The sequence below is a fragment of the Homo sapiens genome, chromosome 2 (assembly GCF_000001405.40).
Source record: "Homo sapiens chromosome 2, GRCh38.p14 Primary Assembly".
Classification (NCBI taxonomy): Eukaryota; Metazoa; Chordata; class Mammalia; order Primates; family Hominidae; genus Homo; species Homo sapiens.
This window is the reverse complement of record NC_000002.12, coordinates 131,368,684-131,386,705: the sequence shown is the minus strand read 5'-3', so window position 1 is coordinate 131,386,705 and position 18,022 is coordinate 131,368,684. Positions and strand designations below refer to the sequence as shown.

The 18,022-nt window shown below is 39.1% G+C and overlaps 14 pseudogenes; 10 read left to right on the top strand and 4 right to left on the bottom strand.

Moving 5' to 3' along the window:
- On the top strand, nucleotides 283-1,006 carry MTND1P26 (MT-ND1 pseudogene 26; annotated as a pseudogene).
- NMTRQ-TTG9-1 (nuclear-encoded mitochondrial tRNA-Gln (TTG) 9-1) lies at nucleotides 1,075-1,146 on the bottom strand (annotated as a pseudogene).
- On the top strand, nucleotides 1,216-2,245 carry MTND2P18 (MT-ND2 pseudogene 18; annotated as a pseudogene).
- MTCO1P18 (MT-CO1 pseudogene 18) lies at nucleotides 2,645-4,063 on the top strand (annotated as a pseudogene).
- On the bottom strand, nucleotides 4,068-4,137 carry NMTRS-TGA2-1 (nuclear-encoded mitochondrial tRNA-Ser (TGA) 2-1; annotated as a pseudogene).
- On the top strand, nucleotides 4,209-4,866 carry MTCO2P18 (MT-CO2 pseudogene 18; annotated as a pseudogene).
- MTATP6P4 (MT-ATP6 pseudogene 4) lies at nucleotides 5,116-5,790 on the top strand (annotated as a pseudogene).
- MTCO3P18 (MT-CO3 pseudogene 18) lies at nucleotides 5,793-6,553 on the top strand (annotated as a pseudogene).
- On the top strand, nucleotides 6,645-6,964 carry MTND3P18 (MT-ND3 pseudogene 18; annotated as a pseudogene).
- On the bottom strand, nucleotides 12,892-13,052 carry MTND4LP28 (MT-ND4L pseudogene 28; annotated as a pseudogene).
- MTND4P21 (MT-ND4 pseudogene 21) lies at nucleotides 13,056-14,397 on the top strand (annotated as a pseudogene).
- Nucleotides 14,622-16,392, top strand: MTND5P23 (MT-ND5 pseudogene 23; annotated as a pseudogene).
- On the bottom strand, nucleotides 16,405-16,921 carry MTND6P10 (MT-ND6 pseudogene 10; annotated as a pseudogene).
- MTCYBP10 (MT-CYB pseudogene 10) lies at nucleotides 16,995-17,644 on the top strand (annotated as a pseudogene).

Here is an 18,022-nt window from a genome sequence, read left to right as displayed (position 1 = left end):
CTGAGGCCCCTCATCCCTTGTGAATGACAGCCCTGGGATTATGGGTGTCTGTGAGCAAGGATCTTGGAGTGTGGGGAGCCCAGGAGTTGGGGGATGCCTGGGAGGGAGGCTCTGGGAATGGGATCTCCTGGGAGGATTCATGGGGTCTGGGATCCAAAGAGAAAGTGAGAAAGGCCCTGTGGCTAATACCCTGAAGCATCAGACGGCATGCAGTGAGTGCATGAAGTGGAGAGGGGGCACTTCGATAAAATCATCTTTCACTCTTCCTATACAATCAAAGATATCCTAGGTTTAATTTTTCTCCTCCTCCTTTTAATAATGCTAGCACTATCTTCACCTGACCTCCTGAGCGACCCAGATAATTACGCCTTAGCCAACCCCTCAAAATAGCCATCTACTTTATTTTATGATCAGGATGAGCAACCTATTCAAACTATGACTAATCGGCGTGTTACAAACCATCACCTAATTTCATATGAAGTTACCCTAGCCATCAGCCTATTATCAGTTCTACTGATAAGCAGCTCATTCAATTTATATATACTTATCACAACACAAGAATCCCTCTGACTACTCTTACCATCATGACCCCTAGCCATAATATTATTTATTTCTATATTAGCAGAAACTAACCTAGCCCCTTTTGACCTAACAGAAGGAGAATCAGAGTTAGTCTCAGGTTTCAACATCGAATATGCCACAGGTCCATTTGCCCTCTTCTTTATAGCAGAATACATGGATATTATAATAATAAATTCCCTAACTACTACAATTTTCCTAGGTACAATTATACTCTATGTATTCACCGGAATTCTATACTACGTATTTCATTACCAAGACCCTCCTCTTAACCTCCCTATTTTTATGAATTCGAACAGCCTATCCCCAATTCCGCTATGATTAACTTACACATCTTCTATGAAAAAACTTTCTACCACTTACACTAGCATTCTGTGTATGATATATCTCAGTACCCATCATAATCTCCAGCATCCCACCCCAAACGTAAGAAATATGTCTGACAAAAGAATTACTTTGACAGAGTAAACAACAGAGGTTAAAATCCTCATATTTCTAGAACTACAGGAATTGAACCCATCCCTGAGAATCCAAAATTCTCCGTGCTACCTATCACACCACGTCCTAAAGTAAGGTCAGCTAAATAAGCTGTCAGGCCCATACCCCAAAAATGTTGGTTACATCCTTCCTGTACTAATTAACCTATTAGCTCAGCTTATCATCTACTTTACTATTTCTACAGGTACCCTTATCACAATGCTAGCCTCACACTCATTTTTCCTCTGAACAGGCTTAGAAATAAATATACTAGCCCTCATCCCAATCTTAATTAAAAAATAAATCCCTGCTCCACAGAAGCAGCCACTAAATATTTCCTTATACAGGCAACCGCATCTAGAGTCCTCATAATCGGTATTCTCTCCAATAATCTGTTATCCGGACAGTGAACAACAATAAATACTGTAAATCAGTTTTCATCCCTAATAATAATAATAGCCTTAGTAATAAAATTAGGAATAACCCCCTTTCACTTCTGAGTTCCAGAAGTAACCCAAGGAACTTCTCTAACATCTGGCATACTTCTCCTCACATGACAAAAACTAGCCCCTATTTCAATTCAATTCAATCAAATTTTCCCATCAATAAATACGAATATTCTCCTATCTATCTATTTTAGTGGGCAGTTGAGGAGGACTCAACCAAGCACAACCATGTAAAATTTTAGCCTACTCCTCAACCACTCATATAGACTGAATAATAGCAGTACTCATGTATAACCTAAACATTACCATTTTTACCCTAATTATCTATTTCATCCCAACAATTACTGCATTCCAAGTACTCAACCTGAGTTCAAGCACCACAACCTTATCACTGTCTCACACCTGAAACAAATTAACATGATTAATATCTATAATCCTATCAATTTTATTATCCCTAGGATGTTTACCCCCATTAGCAGGATTCCTACCTAAATGAATTATTATCCAAGAGTTTACAAAAAATAAGTCTTATTATCCCAACCATCATAGCCATCATAACTTTACTCAACCTATATTTTTATATATGCTTAATTTACTCCACTTCAGTGACAATATTCCCCACATCCAATAATATAAAAAGAAAATGACAGTTCAAAAACACAAAACCCGTATCATTCCTCCCCCCACTCATCATCTTCTCTACTTTCCTCCTACCAATATCTCCACTGACACTATTTATAATCTAGAAATGTAGGTTAAGTAAGACCAAGAGCCTTCAAAGCTCTTAGCCAGTACATTATACTGAAGTTCTGCAAAAACCTAAGGACTGCAAAATTCTACTCTGTATCAATTGAATGCAAATGAATCACTTTAATTAAGCTAAGCCCTTACTAGATTGACGGGACTTAAACCCACGAAAATTTAATTAACAGCTAAACACCCTAATCAACTGGCTTCAATCTACTTCTCCTGCTATTGGAGGAGACAGGAGGGAGAAGCCCTAGCAAGATTGAAGCTGCTTGTTTGAATTTGCAATTCAACATGAAAATCACCTCGGGGCTGGTAAAAAGAGGTCTTGACCTCTGTTTTCAGATTACAGTCTAATGCTTACTCAGCCATTTTACCTTTTTCTCACTTCACTTATGTTCACCAACTGTTGACTGTTCTCAGCCAACCATAAAGATATCGGGATATTCTATCTACTATTCAGTGCATGAGCAGGGATAGTGGGTCCAGATTTAAGCCTCCTTATTCAAGCTGAACTGGGCCAACCAGGTACTCTTTTAGGAGATGATCAAATTTATAATGTCATCATTACAGCTCATGCATTTGTCATAATTTTCTTTATAGTAATGCCAATTATAATTGGAGGCTTTGGCAACTGATTAGTTCCTCTGATAATTCACCCCCCCCATATAGCATTTCCCTGCATAAATAGTAGAAGCTTCTGACTCCTCTCACCCTCTTTCCTACTATTATTTGCATCCGCTATAGTAGAGGCAGGTGCTATTAACTTTATTACCACAATTATTAATATAAACCCCCAGCCATGTCCCAATATCACACACCCCTCTTCATCTGATCAGTCTTAATTACAGCAGTTCTTCTACTCCTTTCTCTCCCAGTCCTAGCTGCTGGCATTACTATATCGTTAACTGACCGCAATCTGAATACTACTTTTTTCGACCCAGTTAGTGGAGGTGATCCTATCTTATATCAGCATTTATTCTGATTCTTTGGTCACCCTGAAGTGTATATCCTCATCTTACCAGGCTTCGGATAATTTCCCATATCGTAACATATTATTCTGGAAAAAAAAGAACCATTTGGGTATATGGGCATAGTATGAGCCATAATATCAATTGGCTTCTTAGGGTTTATCATATGGGCCCACCACATATTTACAGGAGGAATAGATGTAGATACACGAGCATATTTCACCTCTGCTACTATAATTATTGCTATTCCTACTGGTGTCAAAGTCTTTAGCTGGCTAGCTACACTTCACAGCAGTAGTATCAAATGATCCCCCACAATGCTCTGAGCCCTGGGATTTATTTTCCTTTTTACAACAGGAGGCCTAACCGGCATCGTACTAGCCAATTCATCACTGGATATTGTACTACATGATAGATATTATGTTGTAGCCCATTTCCATTATGCCTTATCAAAAGGAACCATATTTGCCATTATGGGAGGCTTTGTTCACTGATTCCCTCTATTTTCAGGTTATACTCAATCAAATCTATGCTAAAACTCACTTTGCTATTATATTTGTAAGTGTGAATTTAACTTTTTTCCCACAGCACTTCCTTGGCCTATCTGGTATGCCTCGATGTTACTCCAGTTATCCTGACACGTACACCGCATGAAATATTATTTCATCTGTAGGCTCATTTATTTCCCTAACAGCAGTAATACTAATAATTTTCATGGTCTGAGAAGCCTTCACTTCAAAATGAAAAGTTCTAATAGTTGAGCAACCATCTACCAACTTAGAATGACTATAAGGCTGTCCACCAACCCATCACACATTCGAAGAACCAACCTACATGAAGACCTAAGTGAAAAAGGAGGGAATCGAACCCCCCAGAGACTGGTTTCAAGCCAATCCCATAACCTCTATGACCTTCTCAATAAGATATTAGTGAAATTATTTCATAACTTTGTCAAAGTTAAGTTATAGTTTAAGCCGTATATATCTTAATGGCCCATCCAGTTCAATTAGGTCTTCAAGATGCTTCATCTCCTATTATAGAAGAACTACTTACCTTCCATGACCACACCCTTGTCATTGTTTTCCTAATTAGTTCCCTGGTTCTATACATTATTTCTGTAATACTCAACAAAACTGACCAACAATAGCACCATAGATGCCCAAGAAATAGAGACTGTCTGAATTATCTTGCCTGTTATCATCTTAATCTTAACTGCCCTCCCATCCCTACGTATGTTATCTATAACAGATGAAGTCAATAAGCCTTCTCTCACCGTTAAAACAATTGGACATCAATGGTATTGAAGCTACTAGTGTACAGATTATGAAGAGTTAAGCTTCGATTCTTATATGCTTCCAACAGCAGACCTAAAACCAGAAGAACGTAGACTCCTTGAAGTCGATAACCGAACAATCCTCCCAATAGAAATTCCCATCCACATGTTAACCTCATCTGAAGATGTCCTGCACTCATGAACTATTCCCTCATTAGGTTTAAAAACAGATGCAGTCCCTGGACGCCTAAACCAATTTACCTTAACCACTACACGACCAGGCCTCTACTGCAGACAATGCTCAGAAATCTGTGGATCTAATCACGGTGTTATACCTATTGTTCTAGAATTAGTTCCATTAAAAACTTTTGAAACTTGATCTATATCCACACCATAATATCACTGTAGTTACCCCAGTGTTAACCTTTTAAGTTAAAGATCGAGAGAAATCATACCTCTCTAGAGTGAATGCCTCAGCTAGATACTTCCACATGACCTATTATTGTATCAATAATCGTAACTTTATTTTCCATTATTCAATTAAAAATATCAAATTTCATCTACCATACACCCCCTTCACCAAAAATAAAGTACAAAAACATAACAACCCTTGAGAACTAAAATGAACAAAAATCTGTTCACCTCATTTATCGCCCCAACAATCCTAGGGTTACCCACAGCAGCACTAATCATCTTGTTCCCCTCCACACTCCTTCCAACCTCCAACTATCTAGTCAATAACTGATTAATTTCTATTCAACAATGACTAGTTCAACTTACCCTAAAACAAATAATTATACGTAACATTAAAGGACAAGCCCGATCCCTTATACTGATATCTCTAATTCTCTTTATTGCCTTAACCAATCTCCTTGGACTCCTACCAGACTCATTTACACCAACTACCCAACCATCAATAAATCTAGCTACAGCAATCCCCTTATGAGCAGGCACAGTAATCACGGGCTTCCGCTTTAAAACTAAAAACTCCTTAGCTCACTTCCTACCACAAGGCACACGCATACCACTTATTCCTATACCAGTATTCACCGAAACCATTAGTCTATTTATTCAACCAACAGCACTAGCTGTACGTCTAACAGCCAACATTACAGCCAGTCACTTACTCATGCGCTTAATTGGAGGAGCCACACTAGTATTATCAACTACTAACCTTCCCACAGCTTCAATCACCTTTATTATTCTAATTCTATTAACCATGCTCCAATCTGCTGTGGCCCTTATCCAAGCTTATGTCTTTACGCTTTTAGTAAGCCTTTATTTCTATGACAATACATAATGACCCACCAAACACACACCTATCATTTAGTCAAACCCAGCCCTTGACCATTAACAGGGGCTCTCTCAGCTCTCCTAATAACATCCGCCCTAGCTATATGACTTCACTTTAACTCTATTACTCTTTTAACCCTGGGCCTACTAACCAATACACTGACTATATATCAATGGTGATGTGACATTATCCGAGAAAGTACATTTCCAGGCCATGATACAACAACTGTTCAAAAAGGCCTCCGATGTGGAATAGTCATATTTGTTATCTCAGAAGTATTTGTCTTTGCTGGATTCTTTTGAGCATTCTACCATTCTAGTCTAGCCCCAGCTCCAGAATTAGGAGGACACTGATCTCCAACAAGCATTTCTCCCCTCAACCCCCTGGAAGTACCCCTCCTGAACACATTTCAATTACTTGAGCCCATCACAGCCTAATAGAAAATAATCAAAAACAAGTAATTCAAGCACTACTTTTCACAATTATCTTAGGCATTTGCTTCACCCTCCTACAAGTCTCAGAATACTTAGAGGCTCCCTTTGCTTTTTCTGATGGAATTTATGGCCCAACATTTTTTATAGCTACAGGCTTTTATGGACTTCACATCATTATTGGATCAACTTTCCTTACTATCTGCCTTCTCCGCCAATTAAAATACCACTTTACATCCAGCCATCATTTTGGCTTTGAAGCCACCGCCTGATATTGACACTATGTAGATGTAGTATGACTATTCTTGTATATTTCTATCTACTGATGAGGGTCTTACTCTTTTAGTATAAACAGTACCATTGACTTCCAATCAATTAGTTTCGATAGTATCTGAAAAAGAGTAATTAACCTAACACTAGCCCTAGTAATCAACACCCTACTAGCCCTGTCACTTATAGCTATTACATTCTGGCTCCCACAACTTAATATTTATACAGAAAAATCCAGCCCCTACGAATGAGGATTTGACTCGTTATCCTCCACCCGCATTCCTTTCTCCATAAAATCATTTCTAGTAGCCATCACATTCCTCCTATTTGACTTAGAAATCACCCTACTGCTACCCTTACCATGAGCCCTTCAAACAACCTGACACTAATAATTAGTACATCCCTTATGCTAGTTATCATTTTAATCCTAGGGTTACCTTATGAATGAACTCAAAAAGGATTAGACTGAACTGAATTGGTAAGTAGTTTAAGCCAAAATAAATGATTTTGACTCGTTAGTTATGATAGAACATGTTTACCAAATGCCCCCTGTTTACATAAATATTATATTCACATATACCATATCACTTCTGGGGTTATTAATCTATCAATCCCACTTAATATCAGCAGTTCTTCTACTCCTTTCTCTCACAGTCCTAGCTGCCAGCATTGCTATATATAAATACAACTTTTTTCCTACTATGCCTAGAAGGAATAATATTATCATTATTCATCATAAATACCCTTATAACTTTATTTACTTATTTATTTATTTATTTTATTATTATTATACTTTAAGTTTTAGGGTACATGTGCACAATGTGCAGGTTAGTTACATATGTATACATGTGCCATGCTGGTGTGCTGCACCCATTAACTCGTCATTTAGCATTAGGTATATCTCCTAATGCTATCCCTCCCCCCTCCCCCCACCCCACAACAGACCCCAGAGTGTGATGTTCCCCTTCTTGTGTCCATGTGTTCTCATCGTTCAATTCCCACCTATGAGAGAGAACATGCGGTGTTTGGTTTTTTGTCCTTGTGATAGTTTCTGAGAATGATGATTTCCAATTTCATCCATGTCCCTACAAAGGACATGAACTCATCATTTTTTATGGATGCATAGTATTCCATGGTGTATATGTGCCACATTTTCTTAATCCAGTCTATCATTGTTGGACATTTGGGTTGGCTCCAAGTCTTTGCTATTGTGAATGGTGCCTCAATAAACATACGTGTGCATGTGTCTTTATAGCAGCATGATTTATTGTCCTTTGGGTATATACCCAGTAATGGGATGGCTGGGTCAAATGGTATTTCTAGTTCTAGATCCCTGAGGAATCACCACACTGACTTCCACAATGGTTGAATGGGTTTACAGTCCCACCAACAGTGTAAAAGTGTTCCTATTTCTCCACATCCTCTCCAGCACCTGTTGTTTCCTGACTTTTTAATGATCGCCATTCTAATTGGTGTGAGATGGTATCTCATTGTGGTTTTGATTTGCATTTCTCTGATGGCCAGTGATGGTGAGCATTTTTTCATGTGTTTTTTGGCTGCATAGATGTCTTCTTTTGAGAAGTGTCTGTTCATGTCCTTCGCCCACTTTTTCATGGGCTTGTTTGTTTTTTTCTTGTAAATTTGTTTGAGTTCATTGTAGATTCTGGATATCAGCCCTTTGTCAGATGAGTGGGTTGCGAAAATTTTCTCCCATTTTGTAGGTTGCCTGTTCACTCTGATGGTAGTTTCTTTTGCTGTGCAGAAGCTCTTTAGTTTAATTACATCCCATTTGTCAATTTTGGCTTTTCTTGCCATTGCTTTTGGTGTTTTAGACATGAAGTCCTTGCCCATGCCTATGTCCTGAATGGTAATGCCTATGTTTTCTTGGGTTTCAGGGTTTTTATGGTTTTAGGTCTAACGTTTAAGTCTTTAATCCATCTTGAATTAATTTTTGTATAAGGTGTAAGGAAGAGATCCAGTTTCAGCTTTCTACATATGGCTAGCCAGTTTTCCCAGCACCATTTATTAAATAGGGAATCCTTTCCCCATTGCTTGTTTTTCCCAGGTTTGTCAAAGATCAGATGGTTGTAGATGTGTGGTGTTATTTCTGAGGGCTCTGTTCTGTTCCATTTATCTATATCTCTGTTTTGGTACCAGTACCATGCTGTTTTGGTTACTGTAGCCTTGTAGTATAGTTTGAAGTCACGTAGCATGATGCCTCTGGCTTTGTTCTTTTGGTTCAGGATTGACTTGGCGATGCGGGCTCTTTTTTGGTTTCATATGAACTTTAAAGTAGTTTTTTCCAATTCTGTGAATAAAGTCATTGGTAGCTTGATGGGGATGGCATTGAATCTATAAATGACCTTGGGCAGTATGGCCATTTTCACGATATTGATTCTTCCTACCCATGAGCATGGAATGTTCTTCCATTTCTTTGTATCCTCTTTTATTTCACTGAGCAGTGGTTTGTAGTTCTCCTTGAAGAGGTCCTTCACAGCCCTTGTAAGTTGGATTCCTAGGTATTTTATTCTCTTTGAAGCAATTGTGAATGGGAGTTCACTCATGATTTGGCTCTCTGTTTGTCTGTTATTGGTGTATAAGAATGCTTGTGATTTTTGTACATTGATTTTGTATCCTGAGACTTTGCTGAAGTTGCTTATCAGCTTAAGGAGGTTTTGGGCTGAGACAATGGGGTTTTCTAGATATACAATCATGTCATCTGCAAACAGGGACAATTTGACTTCCTCTTTTCCTAATTGAATACCCTTTATTTCCTTCTCCTGCCTGATTGCCCTGGCCAGAACTTCCAACACTATGTTGAATAGGAGTGGTGAGAGAGGGCATCCCTGTCTCATGCCAGTTTTCAAAGAGAATGCTACCAGTTTTTGCCCATTCAGTGTGATATTGGCTGTGGGTTTGTCATAGGTAGCTCTTAGTATTTTGAGATACGTCCCATCAATACCTAATTTATTGAGAGTTTTTAGCATGAAGGGTTGTTGAATTTTGTCAAAGGCCTTTTCTGCATCTATTGAGATAATCATGTGGTTTTTGTCTTTGGTTCTGTTTATATGCTGGATTACATTTATTGATTTGCATATGTTGAACCAGCCTTGCATCCCAGGGATGAAGCCCACTTGATCATGGTGGATAAGCTTTTTGATGTGCTGCTGGATTCAGTTTGCCAGTATTTTATTGAGGATTTTTGCATCAATGTTCATCAAGGATATTGGTCTAAAATTCCCTTTTTTGGTTATGTCTCTGCCCAGCTTTGGTATCAGGATGATGCTGGCCTCATAAAATGAGTTAGGGAGGATTCCTTTTTCTATTGATTGGAATAGTTTCAGAAGGAATGGTACCAGCTCCTCGTTGTACCTCTGGTAGAATTCGGCTGTGAATCCATCTGGTCCTGGACTTTTTTTGGTTGGTAAGCTATTGATTATTGCCACAATTTCAGAGCCTATTATTGATCTATTCAGAGATTCAACTTCTTCCTGGTTTAGTCTTGGGAGGATGTATGTGTCGAGGAATTTATCCATTTCTTCTAGATTTTCTAGTTTATTTGCGTAGAGGTGTTTGTAATATTCTCTGATGGTAGTTTGTATTTCTGTGGGATTGGTGGTGATATCCCCTTTATCATTTTTTATTGCGTCTATTTGATTCTTCTCACTTTTCTTCTTTATTAGTCTTGCTAGCGGTCTATCAATTTTGTTGATCCTTTCAAAAAACCAGATCCTGGATTCATTAATTTTTTGAAGGGTTTTTTGTGTCTCTATTTCCTTCAGTTCTGCTCTGATTTTAGTTATTTCTTGCCTTCTGCTAGCTTTTGAATGTGTTTGCTCTTGCTTTTCTAGTTCTTTTAATTGTGATGTTAGGGTGTCAATTTTGGATCTTTCCTGCTTTCTCTTGTGGGCATTTAGTGCCATAAATTTCCCTCTACACACTGCTTTGAATGTGTCCCAGAGATTCTGGTATGTTGTGTCTTTGTTCTCATTGGTTTCAAAGAACATCTTTATTTCTGCCTTCATTTTGTTATGTACCCAGTAGTCATTCAGGAGCAGGTTGTTCAGTTTCCATATAGTTGAGTGGTTTTGAGTGAGTTTCTTAATCCTGAGTTCTAGTTTGATTGCACTGTGGTCTGAGAGATAGTTTGTTATAATTTCTGTTCTTTTACATTTGCTGAGGAGGGCTTTACTTCCAACTATGTGATCAATTTTGGAATAGGTGTGGTGTGGTGCTGAAAAAATGTAGATTCTGTTGATTTGGGGTGGAGAGTTCTATAGATGTCTACTAGGTCCGCTTGGTGCAGAGCTGAGTTCAATTCCTGGGTATCCTTGTTAACTTTCTGTCTCGTTGATCTGTCTAATGTTGACAGTGGGGTGTTAAAGTCTCCCATTATTATTGTGTGGGAGTCTAAGTCTCTTTGTAGGTCACTCAGGACTTGCTTTATGAATCTGGGTGCTCCTGTATTGGGTGCATATATATTTACGATAGTTAGCTCTTCTTGTTGAATTGATCCCTTTACCATTATGTAATGGCCTTCTTTGTCTCTTTTGATCTTTGCTGGTTTAAACTCTGTTTTATCAAAGAGTAGGATTGCAACCCCTGCCTTTTTTTGTTTTCCATTTGCTTGGTAGATCTTCCTCCATCCCTTTATTTTGAGCCTATGTGTGTCTCTGCACGTGAGATGGGTTTCCTGAATACAGCACACTGATGGGTCTTGAGTCTTTATCCAATTTGCCAGTCTGTGTCTTTTAATTGGAGCATGTAGACCATTTACATTTAAAGTTAATATTGTTATGTGTGAATTTGATCCTGTCATTATGATGTTAGCTGGTTATTTTGCTCGTTAGTTGATGCAGTTTCTTCCTAGCCTGGATGGTCTTTACAATTTGGCATGATTTTGCAGTGGCTGGTACCGGTTGTTCCTTTCCATGTTTAGTGCTTCCTTCAGGAGCTCTTTTAGGGCAAGCCTGGCGGTGACAAAATCTCTCAGCATTTGCTTGTCTGTAAAGTATTTTATTTCTCCTTCACTTATGAAGCTTAGTTTGGCTGGATAGGAAATTCTGGGTTGAAAATTCTTTTCTTTAAGGATGTTGAATATTGGCCCCCACTCTCTTCTGGCTTGTAGAGTTTCTGCCAAGAGATCTGCTGTTAGTCTGATGGGCTTCCCTTTGTGGGTAACCCGACCTTTCTCTCTGGCTGCCCTTAACGTTTTTTCCTTCATTTCAACTTTGGTGAATCTGACAATTATGTGTCTTGGAGTTGCTCTTCTCGAGGAGTATCTTTGTGGCATTCTCTGTATTTCCTGAATTTGAATGTTGGCCTGCCTTGCTAGATTGGGGAAGTTCTCCTGGATAATATCTTGTAGAGTGTTTTCCAACTTGGTTCTGTTCTCCCCGTCACTTTCAGGTACACCAATCAGACATAGATTTGGTCTTTTCACATAGTCCCATATTTCTTGGAGGCTTTGTTCATTTCTTTTTATTCTTTTTCTCTAAACTTCCCTTTTCACTTCATTTCATTCATTTCATCTTCCATCACTGATACCCTTTATTCCAGTTGATTGCATTGGCTCCTGAGGCTTCTGCATTCTTCACGTATTTCTCGATCCTTGGCTTTCAGCTCCATCAGCTCCTTTAAGGACTTCTGTGCATTGGTTATTCTAGTTATACATTTGTCTAAATTTTTTTCAAAGTTTTTAACTTCTTTGCCTTTGGTTTGAATTTCCTCCTGTAGCTCAGAGTAGTTTGATCATCTGAAGCCTTCTTCTCTTAACTCGTCAAAGTCCTTCTCCGTCCAGCTTTGTTCCGTTGCTGGTGAGGAACTGCATTCCTTTGGAGGAGGAGAGGCGCTCTGCTTTTTAGAGTTTGCAGTTTTTCTGCTCTGTTTTTTCCCCATCTTTGTGGTTTTATCTACTTTTGGTCTTTGATGATGGTGATGTACAGATGGGTTTTTGGTGTGGATGTCCTTTCTGTTTGTTAGTTTTCCTTCTAACAGATAGGACCCTCAGCTGCAGGTCTGTTGGAGTTTGCTAGAGGTCCACTCCAGACCCTGTTTGCCTGGGTACCCGCAGCAGTGGCTGCAGAACAGCAGATTTTCATGAACTGCAAATGCTGCTGTCTGATCGTTCCTCTGGAAGTTTTGTCTCAGAGAAGTACCTGGCCGTGTGAGGTGTCAGTCTGCCCCTACTTGGGGGTGCCTCCCAGTTAGGCTGCTCGGGGGTCAGGGGTCAGGGACCCACTTGAGGAGGCAGTCTGCCCGTTCTCAGATCTCCAGCTGCATGCTGGGAGAACCACTGCTCTCTTCAAAGCTCAGATGAAAATGCAGAAATCACCCGTCTTCTGCATCGCTCATGCTGGGAGCTGTAGACCGGAGCTGTTCCTATTTGGCCATCTTGGCTCCACCCCTCCTTATAACTTTAAATATACATTTTACCCTAGCAACCGTAGTACCCATCACCCTACTAGTATTTGCTGCCGGCAAAGCCGCAGTGGGCCTTGCCTTACTAGTTTCAATTTCCAACACATATGACTTAAACTATGTGCATAACCTAAATTTACTTCAAAGCTAAAAGTTATCATTCTAACAATCACACTGCTACCAATAACATGACTCTCTAAAAATCCTATACTCTGGATGAATATAACCACTCACAGCCTAATTATCAGCTTTATTGCCCTATTATTCTTTAATCAATTCAACGACAATCTATTCAACTCCTCATCAACTTTCTCCTCTGATCCCCTAACATCACCCCTTCTAATCTTAACAGCCTGGCCATTACCTCTTATAATTACAGCAAGCCAGTATCACCTCTCCAGTGAATCCCTCCCACAGAAAAAGCTCTATATTTCCATATTGATCTCCCTACAGGTTTTTCTAATTACAGCATTTACAGCCACAGAACTAATTATATTTTATATTCTCTTTGAAACTACACTTATCCCCACCTTAATTATTATTACCCGCTGGGGCAACCAACTAGAATGCCTCAATGCAAGCACATATTTCTTACTTTATACACTAGTAGGATCTCTCCCCCTACTTATTATACTTACTTACACCCAAAATATCCTAGGCTCACTGAGCATAATAACATTTAATACCCAACAACTATTAATTTCCTGATCCAACAACTTTATATGGTGTGTATAATGGCTTTTATGCTAAAAATACCCCTATACGGACTTCACCTATGACTTCCTAAAGCCCATGTAGAAACTCCTATTGCCAGTTCAATAGTACTTGCAGCAGGACTCCTAAAACTAGGCGGCTATGGCATAATACGACTTAACCCTTATCCTCAGCCCCCTGACAGAATATATAGTCTATCCCTTCCTCATGTTATCCTTATGAGGTATAGTTATGAGAAGCTCTATCTGTCTATGACAAACTGATCTAAAGTCACTTATTGCATATTCCTCCGTAAGCCATATGGCACTTGTTATTATGGCTATCCTTATTCAAATCCCCTGAAGCTTTATCTTGCTATTATCCTCATAATTGCCCACGGACTTACTTCGTCCCTACTTTTCTGCCTAGCAAATTCAAACTACAAGCGAACCCACAGCCGAATCATATTACTCTCTCAAGGGCTTCAAATATTATTTCCACTAATACCCTTTTGCTTATAGCAAATCTTACTAACCCTGCCTTACCCCCCTCCACTAATCTAATAGGTGAACTCCTCGTAAGAGTGGCTTCACTCTCCTGATCAAATATTACCATTATGCTTATAGGATGTAATATATTAATTACAGCCCTTTATTTCCTTCACATCCTTGTCACAACACACCAGCAAACACTTACTTATTATATTAACAGTATTAAGCCCTCCTTTACATGAAAAACTATATTAATATTTATACACCTTTCACCTATTCTATTATCTCTAAACCCTAAAATTATTATACAGTCTATACCCTACAAATACAGTTTAATCAAAACGTGAGATTGTGGATCTAATAATAGAAGTCTGCTTCTTCTTATTTACCAAGAAAGTGTGCAAGAACTGCTGACTCATGCCCCCATGCCTGACAACATGGCTTTCTCAACTTTTAGAGGATAAGAGCTATCTGTTGGTCTTAGGAACCAAAAATATTGGTGCAACTCCAAATAAAATAATAATCACGTATTACCATAATAACCTTAATCTCCTTAACCTTACCAATTATTATTACCTTCATCAACCCTTACAAGAAGAACTTGTACCCATATTATGTAAAAATAGCTATCGCATGCACCTTCACCATTAGCCGCATTCCCACAAGAATGTTTATATCTACAGACCAATAACCCATCATCTCAAACTGATATTGAATAACAATCCAAACCCTTAAACTCTCATTAAGCTTCAGACTACTTCTCCATAATGTTTATTCCAGTAGCACTATTTGTCACCTGATTATAGAATTCTCTATATGATATATAAAGTTAGATCCTAATATTGATCAGTTTTGCAAATATTTACTTATTTTCCACACCACAATATTAATTCTAGTTACCGCCAACAACCTTTTTCAACTTTTTATTGGATGAGAAGGCGTAGGAATTGTGTCTTTTCTACTAACTGGCTGATGACATGGCTGAGCAGATGCTAATACAACAGCCCTGCAAGCGATCCTACATAATCGCTTTGGCGATATTGGCTTCATTTTAGCTATAGCCTGATTCCTCACATCCTCCAATACATGAGAGCCTCAACAAATATTTATCCTAAATCCTACCCCCGATCTTCTTCCATTAATTGGCCTTCTCTTAGCAGCAGCAGCAGGAAAAACAGCCCAACTTGGCCTCCACTCCTGACTTCCTTCTGCCATGGAAGGCCCAGCCCCTGTCTCAGCCCTACTCCACTCTAGCACTATAGTTGTGGCAGGAGTGTTCCTACTTATTCATTTCCACCCCTTAATAGAAAATAATGTGTTAATCCAAACCCTTACACTATGTCTAGGGGCTATTACCACTTTTTTACAGCAATCTGTGCTTTAACACAAAATAATATTGAAAAAACCGTAGCATTCTCCACCTCAAGTCAACTGGGCCTTAGAATAACCACAATTGGCATTAATCAACCACACCTAGCATTCCTACACATCTGCACCCATGTCTTTTTCAAAGTTATATTATTTGTGTGTTCAGGATCTATCATCCACAGCCTCAACGATGAACAAGACATCTGAAAAACAGGACTATTTAAGACTTTACCCCTTACTTTCTCCTCCCTTATTATTGGCAGCCTAGCACTTACGGGTATGCCCTTCCTCACAGGCTTTTACTCTAAAGATCTCATCATCGAAACCACAAACACGTCATATACCAATGTCTGAGCCCTCTCTATTACTTTCATTGCCACTTCCCTAACAAGTGTCTACAGTATGCAAATTATTTCCTTTGCCCTAATAGGACAACCCCACTTCCCAACCCTAATCAACATTAATGAAAATATTCCTTCCCTAATAAATCCAATTAAACACCTTATAGTTGACAGCATCTTCGCTGGGTTTCTCCTTACCAATAGCATTGCCCCTGCTTCATCCCCACAAACAACAATAGCACCTCATCTAAAACTTGCAGCCCTAGGTGTAAACATCCTAGGGCTTTTACTGGCTATAGAACTGAGTTCTAGAATTAATAATCTTAAAATAAAACACCCATTACAAATATTCAACTTTTCTAACATATTAGGATTTTACTCAATCACAATTCACTGTATAACCCCTCACTCAAGCCTATCTATAAGCCAAAACCTGGCATCACTTCTATTATCTAATTTGACTAGAAAAGTCCATACCAAAAACAATTTCACAAACCCAAATCACAGCCTCTGTTACTATAACTACTCAAAAAGGCCTAATTAAATCTTATTTCCTCTTCTTTTGTTCCATCCTTTTTGACTTTACTCTTAAGTATTTAATCTGTTGCCCTGAGTAACTTCAATTATAATATCAACACCAGCCAACAATTCAACCAGCAACCACCACCAATCAACACCCACAATTACAGAAAGCACCCGCACCCACAGAATCCTCATGAACCAACCCTGGCCCGTCACTCTCAAAAATTACGCAACTTCCCATACTATTAAAGTTAACTAGAACCACCAGCCCATCATACTCAGCTATTCATCAAGTTAACACCAACTCTACTGCTAAACCCAATAATAACGTTCCTAAAACCTCAATGCTTGATCCTCACTCCTCTGGATATTCCTCAATAGCCATCGCCGCAGTATAGCCAAAAACAACCATGATCCCCTACAAATAAATCAAAAAGACTATTAATCCCATAAAAGCCCCACCATAATTTAGTACAATAACGCAACCCATAGCACCACTAATAATTAACCCTAAGACCCCATAAATTGGAGGTTTAGAAGAAAAACCTACAAATCCCATAACCAAAAGAACACTTAATAGGAACAAAGCATATGTCATTATTCCCACACGGATTATAACCATGACTAATGATAAGAAAAACCATTGTTGTATTTCAACTATAAGAACACTAATGACCATAATACATAAAACAAATCCACTAATAAAAATCATTAATTATTCACTCATCGACCTCCCCACTCCATCTCATATCTCTATATGATGAAACTTGGGCTGACTTCTTGGCACCTGCTTAATCCTTCAGATCATCACAGGGTTATATCTGGCCATACATTACACACCAGATACCTCAATTTCTTTCTCTTCAGTCGCCTATATTAACCGAGATGTGAACTATAGCTGAATTACCCGCTTTTTTCACGCTAACGGTACTTCAACATTCTTCATCTGCCTCTTCCTACATGTCGGCCGAGGCTTATATTATGGCTCATTCACATATTTGGAAACCTGAAACACTGGCATTATTCTCTTGCTTACAACCACAGCAACAGCGTTTATAGGCTATGTGCTTCCATGAGGCCAAATACCATTCTGAGGCACTACAGTAACCACAAACCTAATATCAGCTACTCCATATGTCGGGACTGACCTTGCCCAGTGAATCTGAGGTGATTTTCAGTTGACAAAGCCACTCTTACACGATTCTTCACCTTCCATTTCATCTTACCTTTCATCATTATAGCCCTAACAATTCTCCACCTTCTATTCCTTCACGAAACAGGGTCTAATAACCCCTCAGGAATCTCATCACACTCCGATAAAAGAGACCCTCTTCCTAGGGAGGCGGTGTGGGGGATTGGTCAGAGTGGTGGGAAAAACTATAGGGAAAGGACACAAACCTTCTGAAAGGTCGGAAGTTTCTACAGAGCCCCAGGAGGAGAATAGCTGAAGGCAGCTGTTCTATAACCCTGAGGTAGAGGGCAAGGAGTAGCTACAAGGGAGTGTGGGGGAATTTTTCTTAAACAAGATTGTTCACTTACATCAACCAGGAACTGACCTTTGATCATCCGTGCGCCTGACGTTCCCTGAAAGGGGAACAATAAATGTTAATTATCTACAGGTTGTGTTGGCTCCAGGTTTTCACCATTGTGCCTGCACTGAATAAAAGCAAGCAGCTCCAGCTTCTCACAGCTGCTCTCT